The sequence below is a fragment of the Homo sapiens genome, chromosome 7, assembly GCF_000001405.40.
Source record: "Homo sapiens chromosome 7, GRCh38.p14 Primary Assembly".
Classification (NCBI taxonomy): domain Eukaryota; kingdom Metazoa; phylum Chordata; class Mammalia; order Primates; family Hominidae; genus Homo; species Homo sapiens.
The window spans coordinates 141,982,501-141,998,462 of NC_000007.14; the positions used below are offsets into that span (position 1 = coordinate 141,982,501).

Genomic DNA, 15,962 nt, shown 5'->3' on the forward strand with positions numbered 1-15,962 from the left:
GGATTTTTGCATCAATGTTCATCAAGGATATTGGTCTAAAATTCTCTTTTTTGGTTGTGTCTCTGCCAGGCTTTGGTATCAGAATGATGCTGGCCTCATAAAATGAGTTAGGGAGGATTCCGTCTTTTTCTATTGATTGGAATAGTTTCAGAAGGAATGGTACCAGTTCCTCCTTGTACCTCTGGTAGAATTCAGCTGTGAATCCATCTGGTCCTGGACGCTTTTTGGTTGGTAAACTATTGATTATTGCCACAATTTCAGATCCTGTTATTGGTCTATTCAGAGATTCAACTTCTTCCTGGTTTAGTCTTGGGAGAGTGTATGTGTCAAGGAATTTATCCATTTCTTCTAGATTTTCTAGTTTATTTGCGTAGAGGTGTTTGTAGTATTCTCTGATGGTAGTTTGTATTTCTGTGGGATCAGTGGTGATATCCCCTTTATCATTTTTTATTGTGTCTATTTGATTCTTCTCTCTTTTTTTCTTTATTAGTCTTGCTAGTGGTCTATCTATTGTGTTGATCCTTTCAAAAAACCAGCTCCTGGATTCATTAATTTTTTGAAGGGTTTTTTGTGTCTCTATTTCCTTCAGTTCTGCTCTGATTTTAGTTATTTCTTGCCTTCTGCTAGCTTTTGAATGTGTTTGCTCTTGCTTTTCTAGTTCTTTTAATTGTGATGTTAGGGTGTCAATTTTGGATCTTTCCTGCTTTCTCTTGTGGGCATTTAGTGCTATAAATTTCCCTCTACACACTGCTTTGAATGCGTCCCAGAGATTCTCGTATGTTGTGTCTTTGTTCTTGTTGGTTTCAAAGAACATCTTTATTTCTGCCTTCATTTCGTTATGTACCCAGTAGTCATTCAGGAGCAGGTTGTTCAGTTTCCATGTAGTTGAGTGGTTTTGAGTGAGATTCTTAATCCTGAGCTCTAGTTTGATTGCACTGTGGTCTGAGAGATAGTTTGTTATAATTTCTGTTCTTTTACATTTGCTGAGGAGAGCTTTACTTCCAAGTATGTGGTCAATTTTGGAATAGGTGTGGTGTGGTGCTGAAAAAAATGTATATTCTGTTGATTTGGGGTGGAGAGTTCTGTAGATGTCTATTAGGTCCGCTTGGTGCAGAGCTGAGTTCAATTCCTGGGTATCCTTGTTGACTTTCTGTCTTGTTGATCTGTCTAATGTTGACAGTGGGGTGTTAAAGTCTCCCATTATTAATGTGTGGGAGTCTAAGTCTCTTTGTAGGTCACTCAGGACTTGCTTTATGAATCTGGGTGCTCCTGTATTGGGTGCATATATATTTAGGATAGTTAGCTCTTCTTGTTGAATTGATCCCTTTACCATTATGTAATGGCCTTCTTTGTCTCTTTTGATCTTTATTGGTTTAAAGTCTGTTTTATCAGAGACTAGGATTGCAACCCCTGCCTTTTTTTGTTTTCCATTGGCTTGGTAGATCTTCCTCCATCCTTTTATTTTGAGCCTATGTGTGTCTCTGCACATGAGATGGGTTTCCTGAATACAGCACACTGATGGGTCTTGACTCTTTATCCAATTTGCCAGTCTGTGTCTTTTAATTAGAGCATTTAGTCCATTTACATTTAAAGTTAATATTGTTATGTGTGAATTTGATCCTGTCATGATGATGTTAGCTGGTTATTTTGCTCGTTAGTTGATGCAGTTTCTTCCTAGTCTTGATGGTCTTTACATTTTGGCATGATTTTGCAGCGGCTGGTACCGGTTGTTCCTTTCCATGTTTAGCGCTTCCTTCAGGAGCTCTTTTAGGGCAGGCCTGGTGGTGACAAAATCTCTCAGCATTTGCTTGTCTGTAAAGTATTTTATTTCTCCTTCACTTATGAAGCTTAGTTTGGCTGGAGATGAAATTCTGGGTTGAAAATTCTTTTCTTTAAGAATGTTGAATATTGGCCCCCACTCTCTTCTGGCTTGTAGGGTTTCTGCCGAGAGATCCGGGCTTAGTCTGATGGGCTTCCCTTTGAGGGTAACCCGACCTTTCTCTCTGGCTGCCCTTAACATTTTTTCCTTCATTTCAACTTTGGTGAATCTGACAATTATGTGTCTTGGAGTTGCTCTTCTCGAGGAGTATCTTTGTGGTGTTCTCTGTATTTCCTGAATCTGAACGTTGGCCTGCCTTGCTAGATTGGGGAAGTTCTCCTGGATAATATCCTGCAGAATGTTTTCCAACTTGGTTCCATTCTCCCCGTCACTTTCAGGTACACCAATCAGATGTAGATTTGGTCTTTTCACATAGTCCCATATTTCTTGGAGGCTTTGCTCATTTCTCTTTATTCTTTTTTCTCTAAACTTCCCTTCTCACTTCATTTCATTCATTTCATCTTCCATCGCTGATACCCTTTCTTCCAGTTGATCACATCAGCTCCTGAGGCTTCTGCATTCTTCACATAGTTCTTGAGCCTTGGTTTTCAGGTCCATCAGCTCCTTTAAGCACTTCTCTGTATTGGTTATTCTAGTTATACATTCTTCTAAAATTTTTTCAAAGTTTTCAACTTCTTTGCCTTTGGTTTGAATGTCCTCCCGTAGCTCAGAGTAATTTGATCGTCTGAAGCCTTCTTCTCTCAGCTCGTCAAAGTCGTTCTCTGTCCAGCTTTGTTCCATTGCTGGTGAGGAACTGCGTTCCTTTGGAGGAGGAGAGGCGCTCTGCTTTTTAGAGTTTCCAATTTTTCTGTTCTGTTTTTTCCCCATCTTTGTGGTTTTATCTACTTTTGGTCTTTGATGATGATGATGTACAGATGGGTTTTTGGTGTGGATGTCCTTTCTGTTTGTTAGTTTTCCTTCTAACAGACAGGACCCTCAGCTGCAGGTCTGTTGGAGTACCCTGCCGCGTGAGGTGTCAGTGTGCCCCTGCTGGGGGGTGCCTCCCAGTTAGGCTGCTCGGGGGTCAGGGGTCAGGGACCCACTTGAGGAGGCAGTCTGCCTGTTCTCAGATCTACAGCTGTGTACTGGGAGAACCACTGCTCTCTTCAAAGCTGTCAGACAGGGACATTTAAGTCTGCAGAGGTTACTGCTGTCTTTTTGTTTGTCTGTGCCCTGCCCCCAGAGGTGGAGCCTACAGAGGCAGGCAGGCCTCCTTGAGCTGTGGTGGGCTCCACCCAGTTCCAGCTTCCTGGCTGCTTTGTTTACCTAAGCAAGCCTGGGCAATGGCGGGCGCCCCTCCCCCAGCCTCGCTGCCGCCTTGCAGTTTGATCTCAGACTGCTGTGCTAGCAATCAGCGAGACTCCGTGGGCGTAGGACCCTCTAAGCCAGGTGGTGGATATAATCTCGTGGTGCCCTGTTTTTTAAGCCTGTCGGAAAAGCGCCGTATTCGGGTGGGAGTTACCCGATTTTCCAGGTGCCGTCCGTCACCCCTTTCTTTGACTAGGAAAGGGAACTCCCTGACCCCTTGCGCTTCCCGAGTGAGGCAATGCCTCGCCCTGCTTCGGCTCACACACGGTGCGCGCACCCACTGACCTGCGCCCACTGTCTGGCACTCCCTAGTGAGATGAACCCGGTACCTCAGATGGAGATGCAGAAATCACCCGTCTTCTGCGTTGCTCACGCTGGGAGCTGTAGACCGGAGCTGTTCCTATTCGGCCATCTTGGCTCCTCCCCCCAGCATCTTTAATGGCAGCATGGAACCTTGTGATTAGGGACATAAGATCAGTTTTCTCAGCAGGGACCCATGGGTGGGGATTCCTTTTGAGGGATCTCTGGACCCCTCTTAAAGTTTTATTTTGTTCACAAACATGAGCTAAGGGTGAGGAGGTTTTAAGTAAAAGCTGATAGAGCTGTAAGCCATTGGATGACAGCCCTTTCGTGCTTCTTCGTAGCAGATTTCACATAAGAGAACACTGTGTAGCTCTGGCACTTGGAGGGTTCTTTCTCTGTCTGCAGACACGGGAGCTCAAGCCATACCCAGAGACAGTGTGGACATGGCAATTCCCGGAGAGCAGACCAGGAGGAGAGGGAGGTACCTGGAGGAAGGATGCCAAGCCAGAGAAGACAGCAAACATGACAGAGACCGTACATGGCTGTAAGACATTGTTTGTGAATTTAAGACATTTCCTATGGCATTCTTTTCACATTTTTCCCTTGGGGTAGGGGACTGAGGGGAAATATACCTACCAGTGGCTCATTATAGGGGAAAATTTCTGCAGAATTTAGTGTTTGATGTTGAAAAACAATTGTGTACATTTGCATACTATTATATTATACTGCCACAATTTTAGCAATTCAAAATATTGATTGAAATTACTTACTCTTCTCCAATAATCTTGAACTAAAATGGTATTTCCAAGAAAATGCATTATGACCCTCTCAATATGCCACCACATACCTCCTAGGGTATGTGTACCCTCATCTAAAAAAATAGAACTCAATGGGGATGCCAAACAATTGGGAGGGACTTTGTGGAGATTTGGAGGTCCTACACTTGCAGGTGGTGGTAAAAGCCAGAAAAATGCAGATAACAGGAGGACAACTTTTTGCTCATAGGGTAGACTATGATTAGACATTTTTGGTGGAGATATTTATTTATACTGGACAATGGAGACGAAACACGAGCCTGTCATAGCAGGGCTAGCAGGGACCATTTTGTCACATGGCACAGAAACAGAAACTGGAAGTTAGGATAGTGGTGGTGCTGGTAGTGGTGGTGGTAGTCATAGGCATAGTAAAGGTAGTGTTTTGATGAAGAAATAGGAGAATTACATGAAATTAACTTGTACCTTGGCCTTCACAGAAATGAAAAGAATACTGGCAGTTAATCTCTCTGCTTTTCCTTCTGTGGGTTTGAATGTTTTCTTTCTGCTACTCTCTACATGTGTATCCCATTCTCTTTTGGACAAACAAGCATTTTCAGTAAAACTAATCTCTGTATCTTAATAACATGCCGTAATCCCACAGACATAGTGCTCACTCAGTGCAGTATGATTCAGGCACTGTGTCTCAAATCTAAATTTTTGGGAGGGCGAATCCATCTGGACGAAGTCGGATCATCTGTCCAGCTGGTTCACTCAGCTGAGATCAGAGTGTTAGGGTTATGTTGAGCTTCCCACACAGAAGTGGACCATGCAGGTGTCAGCGAGGCACAGGGGAGGGGGGCATGGAGGAAATAATGGGGGTTTCTAGAACAAGATTTGAGCTTAAAGAGAAATAGCCATCTCTGAGGTGAGGATGCTAGAATTTGACAACTGATAGGATTGGAGGGATTCCCGTTTGGGAGACTTGGTGGCAAATCCACTTTGAATTTGTTGAATGAATGAACAAACATTTAGTTTGAAAAAGCCATTTTCTGTATTTACTGCTTTCAAACCCTATGAACATTGGATTCCTGGATTGAAATTAAATTAGTATGACTTTAACCCCACCACTATATGAGTGACCTTTAGCAACTCATTTCTCTTAGTTTCTGTTTCCTCATTTATACATGGGCATTAAAAATACCTGCCTTATCTTAAAGGATTGTTGTGATCAATGAAATAGTACAGATTAAAGTACTCCGAGGCTGGGCGTGGTGGCTCATGCCTTTAATTTCAGCACTTTGGGAGGCCAAGGTGGGTGGATCACCTGAGGTCAGGAGTTCAAGACCAGCCTGGCCAACATGGTGAAACACCATAGCTACTAAAAATACAAAGATTAGCCGGGCGTGGTGGTGCATGCCTGTAATCCCAGCTACTCAGGAGGCTGAGGTGGAAGAATTGGTTGAACCCAGGAGGAGGAGGTTGCAGTGAGCCGAGATTGCGCCACTGCACTTCAGCACTTTAGCCTGTGCAACACAGCAAGACTCTGTCTTAAAAAAAAACAAAAATATTTAAAAGGTACTCTGAAAACTGCAAAGTGTCACACAATGCAAAGTTGTTGTCGTTTTTTGTTTTGTTTTGAGACAGAGTCTCACTCTGTCACCCAGGCTGGAGTGCAGTGGCGCAATCTGGGCTCACTGCAGTCTCTGTTTCCCAAGTTCAAGCGATTCTCTTACCTCAGCCTCCCGAGTAGCTGAGATAACAGGCGCCCGCCACCATGCCTGACTCATTTTTATATCTTTAGTAGAGACGGGGTTTCACCATGTTGACCAGGCTGGTCTCGAACTCCTGACCTCAGGTGATCCACCTGCTTCGGCCTCCCAAAGTGCTGGGATTACAGGCGTGAGCCACCATGCATGGCCAAATGTAAAGTTTTATGTGAATACTAGGTGATGTGTTATTCCTAAAATTCTCTCTGTACTCATACTTGTGTGTGCATGTGTTCTTATCTGTGGTGGTGAAGAGGAAAGGAGTAGAAGACGGTGTAAAGCTGCTAAATAATAGACATTTCACAAGACAAGGAAATGCTGTAATGTCCTGTGTACATTGTTTCCACTCTCACCTTCCTCTGAACATTTCTGGGCAGAGAAATTACTCCTACTCCAACTAACTCCTTTTTGCCCTTTGCAGGTGGCATGAGATGTTAAGGTCTTTTATATGGGACAAAAGAAGGAAAACAACTTGGCTGCAATAAAAACAGAGGTAAAAATTAATGTTTGTAGGCTATGAAGACTGTGAGAAATCATTTTGATAGGTGGGGGTGTAGATGCCATGTGCTTGTGAGTGTGTGTGTGTGTGTGTGTGTGTATGAGTATGTGAGAGAAAGAGGGAGAGAGAGAGAGAGAGAGAGAAAGAGAGTCTTGTAGTAGTGGTTTTTCTCCATTGGCCTGTGGAATCAGTTCAGTGTGGGATGTGTTGACTGTTTACTGTGGCTATTCCTAAGGGTTGAGGAACTGGAGGAATAGTTCTTAACAGAATTTAAGCTAATGATACTGCTTGTTGGATATTATTTCATTTTCAGAAAGGACTGGCTGAGGAGGGGTTGGGAAACTGACATTGGATGTCAGGTACTTATGTCAGCTTAGGCTCAAAGTAACATCATGAAGTACTCATGATCATCCCTGATTTCCAGATAAGGCAACTGAGCTTCAGAAAATTGAAATGGTTGTCCAAGTTCTGCAGAAAGTAAGTAGAGGACCTCATATTTAAGCCCAGGCTAGTTTGATTTGAAACTCCATGTTCTTCTTTCTTTTTTTTTTTTTCGATTATTAGAGACAGGGTCTTGCTGTGTTGCCCAGGATGGAGTGCAGTGGTGCTATCATAGCTCCCTGCAGCCTCAAACTCCTGGGCTCAAGTGATCCTCTTGCTGCTGTATGGAGGCTGAGAATCCCTAAAGTGCATTCTCCAAATTTTCCAAAATTCCTCAATTTTTATGGAAAATTCCCCAGATTTTCAGTTGAAATCATCTGAAAATTTAACATGAAAATACTCTCCAAAAAAAGATTTATCTTGAATGAAATACTATGTTTGACAATTTCATACTAAAGGGATATTTTAGGGACACCTAATCCACCCATAGTTAATTACTGGTAAAATCCACACAGATAAAATTATTATTTTCTACAAGGATTTTATTCCAGGAAGGGAGAACACATGAAGTCATGTTCCATGTAGGAGGAGGAAGGATGCACACTGGGCCTCATCTGTCACTTCTGGGCTCAGCATTCAGAATGGGCTCTTCATGTGGGTCTGGCTTTGACAGAGAGTTTGAGGAGGCTCTGTGGGCAGCATCTTAAGGAGTGGCTAGCACTCCTCTGAGCACTTTGGGGAATGCACACCTATAAAACAGAGCAATATATTCTTGAATGCACTATTACCCCAGTGGCTTGGGAAAGGGGAAATGTCAGAACGACAATTACAACACACATAGAATGCTTACTATGGCCTATGTATCATGCCAAATGATTCACATGCATTATTTCATTCCCTCCTCATATCTACACAACTTCACTCCAAAGAACATGCACCTGTGCAGCTTCCAGAGTCCCCTGTGGATACTTAGTCTGCTTGGAGGTGTGGGGAGAAGTAATATTCTTCTGGACTAAAAACTGAAAGAAGCAGATAATCCAGTGTTTTGAATCTGTGTAGAAATCTATCTCGTGCTTATGACAGCTCTGGGCAGTTTCTTACCTGCAGTGGTTCCCTATTGCTTGCAAAATCTTCTTGCTGAGATGAGATGCTAGAATCTCTGCATTGTGGCTCCAGTGTACTTTCCCAGAAGTGTCCCTGATTGTCTCACAACTGTCTTCTCTGTGTCTTTTTACTGCAGTTTCTAAAACAGGTTCTGTTATTTCTTTTTTTTTATGTTTTTTTATTTTTTATTTTTTTATTATTATACTTTAAGTTTTAGGGTACATGTGCACAATGTGCAGGTTAGTTACATATGTATACATGTGCCATGCTGGTGCGCTGCACCGGTTCTGTTATTTCTTACCTGTGGGTCTGGCTAATGCTGCTCCCTTCGCCCAAAATATCTTTCCTTTTCGCCTTCCCTTCCCACTTCCACCCAGCTATGGCTTTGATTTCTTTCCTGTCCCTCCCAGCATGTGTATTCTCTGTCCAGTAGCATTTGCTGGTGCTGTCTTCTCTTTAGCATCGTAGCCATTTGACTTCTCTCTGCTATGAGGTCATGGAGGAATCACGCTCATCTATATTTCAGTGCAGGCTTGACCAGACTGCCTGGCTTTGCATTCTGGGTTTGCCTCTCATTAGTTACATGACCTGGGGCAAGTCGCCTTTGTGCCTCAGGTTTCTCATCTGTAAAACTGGGATAATAACAGTACCGACTGCATAGCGTAGTTACCAGGAGGAAGTGAAATAATGCATGGAAATCATTTAGCATAGAACATAGGCCACAGTACGCACTCTGTAGATGTTGTTACTGTTATTCTCATAGTGCCTTGTTTGTAGTACACACATAATGACTGTATATTGATGGAATTGTGTGGAGGAAGTGGTTATTGCTATATTTTCTGTGGCCGGAAGTGAGGAGGCAGCCCCAGGGCTAATGCTTGATCCAGAGGTGGGGTCACAATGGTTAGGGTAAGGGTGGTGGCTGGGGATGGAGAAAAGGATTTTTTTTTTTTTTTGAGACAGAATCTCACTCTGTTGCCCAGGCTGGAGTAGTACAATGGCACAATCTCGGCTCACTGCACCCTCCGCCTCCCAGGTTCAAGCAATTCTCCTGCCTCAGCCTCCTGAGTAGCTGGGATTATAGGCACGCGCTACCATGCCCAGCTAATTTTTGTATTTTTAGTAGAGACGGGGTTTCACTATGTTGGTCAGGCTGATCTCAAACTCCTGACCTCATGATCCGCCTGCCTCAGCCTCCCAAAGTGTTGGGATTACAGGCGTGAGCCACCACACCTGGCCGAGAAAAGGAGATATTTTAATCACATTCCAATCCTCACGTTTGCATAGTCTTCGAGGCTCCCAAGTAGACATGCTTTTCTAATATCTCCAAGCCTAGATAAGGCCATGTCACCAGACAGCAAGCCACTCCAGGCACCACAATGATTATACCTTGGTCTGGCCTGAACCATGTTTTTAAATCCAGGGACTTGGAGCTAAGCCTTTAAACTGCTACAGTCAGGCAACATCATAGATGTTGTGCAGGGTAGGTGTTCAATAATTTTTCCTTTGTAAACATGAATGACTGCCTGCTATGTTCGGAATTCTGATTTGGGGTCGAATGAGAGATTGGCATATTTGAATGGGCCTTGGATTGGGGATTCAGGGTCTGAGCTCTTGTCACAACTGTGGCAGATGCAAACTGATCATATTAATTGTAACTGACACTTACTGAGTATTTACTAAGTAACATCAAGTCTTTTACTCACATTATTTTGTCTAGTTTATAAATTTATTGATAGGTAGTATTTTAATCTTCATTTAAGTTACAGAATCAGAGACTTAGTTGCTTAAGCTCCCCCAGTTAATAAGCAGACCTGGGCTTTGCAATTCAGGCCTGCCCTGTTCGGATCTGGAACTCTGAGTCACCACCCACACAAACCTCCTATTCCTGGGTCTCAATTTCCTCTTCTGTAAAATAAGGAGGCTATGCTTAGTGATTTTTAAAGTTCTTTAAGGGCGATACCAAACAACTCAAGTCACATGTCTTAGGAGCTTGATGGATGTGCATTTGGGTGGCAGTTTAGACATTTGCTGCCTTGGGGCCATTGTGAACATCAGTGAGATCATGTAGGTGAAGGTCTTGTTTTTATTTATTTATTTTTATTGAGGCAGGCTCTCACTCTGTTACCCAAGCTGGGCTGCAGTGACATGATCATAGCTCACTGCAGCCTTGACCCCCAGGCTCAGGTGATACTCCCACTTCAGCTTCCCAAGTAGCTGGGACTACAGGTGTGGACCACCACACTCAGCTGATTTTTTTTATTTTTTGTAGAGACATGTTCTCCTTATGTTGCCCAGGCTGGCCTTGAACTCCTGGGCTCAAGTGATCTTCTCGTCTTGGCCTCCCAAAGTGCTAGGATTACATGTATGAGCCACTGCTTCAGACCCAAGGTCTTGGCACTCGGCCAGCCTCCATGCATGCCAGTTTTCCTTTCTTTCCTCTTTTAGCTGTAAATTCTTTGATTCTATGATGCCAAAGAAACACGGTAAGTCAGTGTTACCACGGTGGTTGTTGTTCACTGATGGTTCATGAAATCAGAAAAGTAAGGATAAGGAAGTAAACTTTCAAAGAGATAAATTGATTCAATTTTGATTATCTGTCTATGTCTACTGTGAAACGACTGTGATAAGAGATAGTGATTTTTGTTTGTATTTTCCAGATGATATACATGGTTTATAAATTTAGGTCTCTTGGCCCAGATTTTTTTCTGAATTTTCACTAGCCCATAAAGACAAATGCCTAGAAATAGCAGTAGCTGAGCAGGACTTTTTAAACTATGTGTGGTAAAACAGCAATTGTTTTAAAATTGTCCAATATATCACAGACTGTGGCTTTTGTAAAATTAAAACTAAATTACTTGAAAAATAAATTTTAAAAAAGCATATACAGATACAAGCTCCATTTTTTAATTATCAAGATCAATGACATGAAATGATTCTGTCAAATTGTAATGCAAGTCTCTCAACACTTACCTTCAATTTCTGTGCTTATTTTTCTGGAAGCTGGCAACCACAGGTTCACAGATAACTCTTGGAGTATCACAGAGCGGGGAACTCTGCCCCACTTGGAGGAAGGTCCACTTAGTAACAGAGCAAAGTTCTTAACCTGGGGTTTGTAGATATAATTCTGAAAGCCTGTGAACTTGGAGGGGGAAAATATTTACATATCTTTTCTTTGCTAAATTCTAATTGAAATTTAGAGTTAGGCTGCAAACTACAGTGGTGTTAGTAGTACCTATGAATTTGGTTTCAAGAGAGGTCACAGTTACTTTCACATCATATATTTAAAACAATCTCAAGATATTGTTTACGCTTATCATGTTTTTGAAATTGCAATCGCTATTAGACATATCGCTTTATTGTTAGTATGTCATTAAAGAGGCACAAACTATAATTTAAAAAATATTATAGTAACTGTGTTTCAATGTAATTGATTTTCTTTGTATCTCAGCTCACTACAACCTCCGCCTCCTGGGTTCAAGTGATTCTCTTGCCGCAGCCTCATGAGTAGCTGGGATTACAGGCACGCACCGCCATGCCCGGCTAATTTTCGTACTTTTAGTAGAGACGCGGTTTCACCATGTTGGCCAGGCTGGTCTTGAACTCCTGGCCTCAGGTGATCTGTCCACCTCAGCCTCCCAAAGTGCTGGGATTACAGGCGTGAGCCACTGCACCTGGCCTAAGAATTAATTCTAAGAGGGGTTTATAAGCATGTCTCAGCTCCATAAGTTCTTCTTGCCCACTGCCCTCCAAAAAGATCAATGAGAACAGCAGGCATTGCAGTAAATAAAGAGTTGAATAATCACAGTGTTGGCCAAACAAGAGCAGGCAAAAACTTCTCAATCCCCTCTCCCTCAGGATTCAAAGGCTAAGGTTTGTAAAGGGTACTTTGGTGGGCATGGGGCTGGGGAACTTGTATAATTGATTGGCAGGGAATGAAATCACAGGAGCACCTAAAACTGTCTTTGTGCAACTGAGTCAGTTCCCAGGAGGGGTGTGTGTGTTGGCCTCAAGACTAGGTGGTGTCTGTTGGTCTACTGAAATGCTAACAAATATCTAAAAGACCAGTTATTTAGGTTTCACAATAGTGATTGATATGGTTAGGCTTTGTGTCAGAACCCAAATCTTATCTTGAATTGTAATCCCCATAATCCCCATGTGTCAAGGGAGGGACCAGGTGGGATGTGATTGGATCATGGGGGCGGATCCCCCTATGCTGTTCTCATGATAGTGGGTGAGTTCTCATGAGATCTGATGGTTTTGCAAAGCAGTTTTCCCTGCTCTTGCTCACTCTCTCTGGCCTGCCGCCATGTTAAGAAGTCCCTGCTTCCCCTTCCACCATGATTGTTTCCTGAGGCCTTCCCACCCTTGCGGAACTGAGTCAACGAAACCTCTTTTCTTTATAAATTACCCAGTCTCAGGCATGTCTTTATAGAAGTGTGAAAACAGACCAATACAGTGATGTTATCTTTGGTAGTTGGGGAAGTTATGAATTTTGTGACACTGGTTGTGTGACTGGGGCAGTAAGCAACTTATAGAAAAACAAACTAAGCCATGGCAGGACATTGTTTATGCCTATTCTTTAGCAAAGTCTAAGCCCCTACCATAATTCCAACCTTGCCTTATGAATGCGCCTTTAAGCTCCAGGCAAGGAGGGGGATCATTTTCCCTTGACTCCAAGTTTAACTATAAACTAAATCCCTCTCATAGGTTTCTTGGCCTTTGTACTAGAATAAGCAAAAAGCCAACCAAAAAAAAAAAAAATCCCCTAGAAAACATAATTTAGCCTGGGAGGTTAGAAGCAAGATGGAGTCAGTCTTGTTAGATTTCTCTTATTTATAGTTCTGCAAAGGCAGTTCAAGAGTCACCAGACTGTTAAAGGATTTCCATACTGCAAACAAGCTTAAGGACACCTTAAAGAAGAAAGAAGAAAACTATTTTTAAAACATTTTTAAAACAACTTCCTTCCATCACAATCATCAGATTGTGCTACTAAACGTCAGTGAGTTCCTGAGAGATTCGGAGTCAGTGCAAGAGACCAGGGCTCTTTTGGAATACTGGGGTCATTTATTTTTTGCTCTTTATCATCTACAAATTGTGTCTGTGTTCTCTTACCAGACATACAGGGTGTCCTCACCACCGATTAAACATTCAGTGCCTGGAGGGGATGGAGTGGGTCATGGGAGCTGGCTTTTCCTTCCAAAAGTCTTAAGGATGTCCTTCTTAGAGCAAGACCACGATTACTAATTAACTAAAAATTCTGATCCTGGAAATAAAAGCTGGCCATTCATTTGCATTTGAAAGCCATTAACATTTTCTTGATAGGTCGGTAAATAGTTACCAGATCTTTGGTTGCTTTGGTGGACTGTGCTCCTCTGCTTTTATTGCTAAGCCATCCTTCAGACAGAGAGGGAGCGGCTGCAAGAGGTAATGAGGTATGTTTGTGAACCTTGTATTCTTTTACGGTTACAGATGTGTGTCTACAAGTGTGTGTGAATTTGAGTTGATCTCTTTTAGTCAAAATGCCCTTGTTGGCCGGGTGCAGTGGCTCACACTTGTAATCCCAGCACTTTGGGAGGCCGAGGCGGGTGGATCACGAGATCAGGAGATCGAGACCATGGTGAAACCCCATCTCTACTAAAAAAATACAAAAAATTAGCCGGGCATGGTGGCGGGCGCCTGTAGTCCCAGCTACTCGGAGAGGCTAAGGCAGGAGAATGGCGTGAACCTGGGAGGTAGAGCTTGCAGTGAGCCGAGATCACGCCACTGCACTCCAGCCTGGGTCGTAGAGCGATACTCCGTCTCAAAAAAAAAAAAAAAGCCCTTGTTAATTTGTTAAACACAAAGATAAACAACACCAATAATAAATCAAAAATTATGCACATGCATACACATGGAACAAAATTCTCATTTATCTTTTTTTCTTAGTGTGTGTATATTTTTCTGAACTAAGGCTGGATCTATAAGCCTGATTGTAGTGAAACCTGTGTGTTTGTGTGTGTTTCTGTGTGAGGTGTGATGAATTATTTAATACTTAGGTTGAGGTAGCAGGCAGAAATTCTTTCAGATTCTGGAAATGAAGTGAGAGAAATGAATAAAAGGAGTTAGAATTTGGGAGTGAGATTAGAGCATTTTCCCTCTGAAAGGATTTGGAGTTGTGATTGAGAAAATGTAACTGAAGAACCAATTATAATCAGAAAATTGAGAAATATATCACTATGCTTATGGGTTTGGTGCCTCTGTTGATTAAATACAGAATAATTTTAGGGGATAGTCTGAGGATGTGTGTAAAATATTGGGATGCATTTATGAGTTGGTGTGCATTGGTGGGTAGGAGAGGTTTCCTGTGGAATGTGGGAGGAGGTCATAAAGAGAAAGGTAGGGTATCTGTCCTGGCAGTCATGTGTGGAGTAGAATGGGAGTGCTCGTGGGAAGAGGAGAAGGTGATAAATTGTTGTTGGCCCTTAAACTTAAAAACTTAAAATAAAATACTTAAAATAAACTTAAAATAAAACTTAAAATAAAACTTAAAAAAAGTTGGATCCTTACTAGTTGCCAGTCTAGCTAGACACACGCAGGCATTTCTTTTCTGACTGGTTACAGAGGTGGGAAGGGAGAGTTACTCTTGGGGAAAGAGAGAGAAATTGAGACTAATCCCCATGGGTCTCCCTGAAAAAGGATACCACTAGGTTCTTCATGCAGGATCTGATCAGTGGCTTTGCTGGGCGAGGAAGACCTCCCAATGTCCAAACTGTCTACAGTCTGTGTCCTGGTGTGGGACAGTAAGTGTATGTCTGTAGGTGTGCAAAGAGGGGGTGAGATGGAGGGGGTCTTTGGTTTGTTGTGCTGGTAGGTCCCTGTGCTACCAGGGACCAAATGAAGTGGGACACTAAATTTAAGACAGCTTGTTGCTATTTCAGTCACACTCTCACAAGATGCCAATGATTATTTTTTATTATCAGGCATTCCCTCACAAATACATTTTAATGAGCTAATAAAATTACTATAAAAATTGTTCTATAAGCATGGAATGGAACTAGAAAAGAAATTTTCCATTTAAAATTTGTTCAGGTGGCAGCTGTGGAATGTGATGAGAAATATAAGCCTTTGCACACCCTGTTGCTGGGCTCAAGGAGGAGTTAGCTGTCTCCTAGAGATGATCCTTTTGCAGTTCAGATGGGGAAACTGAGACCCAGAGGGGTTAAGTGGATTTTTCCAAGGTCATACAGCTGGCTAGGGTCAGAGCTGACTCTTAAATCTCTCACCTTGGGTGTGACCAGACTTGGAAGAAAAAAGCCATTCATTAGCTACCTTATCCCTTCCCATTCACCAAGCAGCTGGGAAAGGATGGCCCAACCTACTAATATCGCCCAGCATTTTTGATGAATAGCTATGGCTCACTGGGGTCCTCTTTGCAAGTTGTTCTTAGTCTATCTATCCACAATGAATCCTCTTTTCCACTAGATCTCATGTCTTGTGTTAGCAAAGGATTTTAAAAGAATGGCTTAGACCTCCATATACACATCAAACGCTGGCTATAATGCCGGAAAGAGGACAAATATCCAGTTTTTCCAAATTAATTTAGATAGCCATTTTAATAATTTGGGCCCCCATGTGGTTTGTCTACTTTGCCTAAAGAACTATAATGGTACCAGGACAATGAGCTTTGACAATTATTCATATACTAAATAATTCAAGAAGAAAAAAATTCTATTGCTTTTGCGTAATGTATATATAGTAATAATTCTTTTTTTAAATTTTACTTTAAGTTCTGGAATACATGTGCAGAATGTGCAGGTTCGTTACATGGGTATACATGCGCCATGGTGGTTTGCTGCACCTGTCAACCCATCATCTAGGTTTTAAGCCCCACATGCATTAGGTATTTGTCATAATTCTCTCCCTCCCCTAGCCCGCCATCCCCTGACAGGCCCTAATGTGTGATGTTCCCCTCCCCATGTCCATGT

The 15,962-nt window shown here is 42.4% G+C and overlaps 1 protein-coding gene across 12 annotated transcripts in view, besides 1 other annotated feature; it reads left to right on the plus strand.

Moving 5' to 3' along the window:
* Positions 4,018 to 15,962, plus strand: part of MGAM (maltase-glucoamylase) — a 120,230-nt gene continuing 108,285 nt past the window's right edge. For 6 of the 12 annotated variants that reach the window (XM_011516671.3, NM_001365693.1, NM_004668.3 and 3 more), the window contains exon 1: positions 13,379 to 13,430. The gene's annotated coding sequence lies outside the window, so the exon portion shown is untranslated. Of the gene's footprint in view, positions 4,035 to 6,401; positions 6,505 to 6,934; positions 6,988 to 13,378; positions 13,431 to 15,962 lie in introns of those variants that run through there. The other 6 variants (XM_047421011.1, XM_011516672.3, XM_047421012.1 and 3 more) reach the window with 4 other exon arrangements.
* Positions 13,077 to 13,578: an enhancer, noted in NCBI's record as "NANOG hESC enhancer chr7:141695377-141695878 (GRCh37/hg19 assembly coordinates)". NCBI's record gives its function as "activates a minimal SCP1, AML or CMV promoter by ChIP-STARR-seq in naive and primed H9 embryonic stem cells {active_cell/tissue: H9 hESC(naive and primed)}" and the evidence as "EXISTENCE:reporter gene assay evidence [ECO:0000049][PMID:30033119]".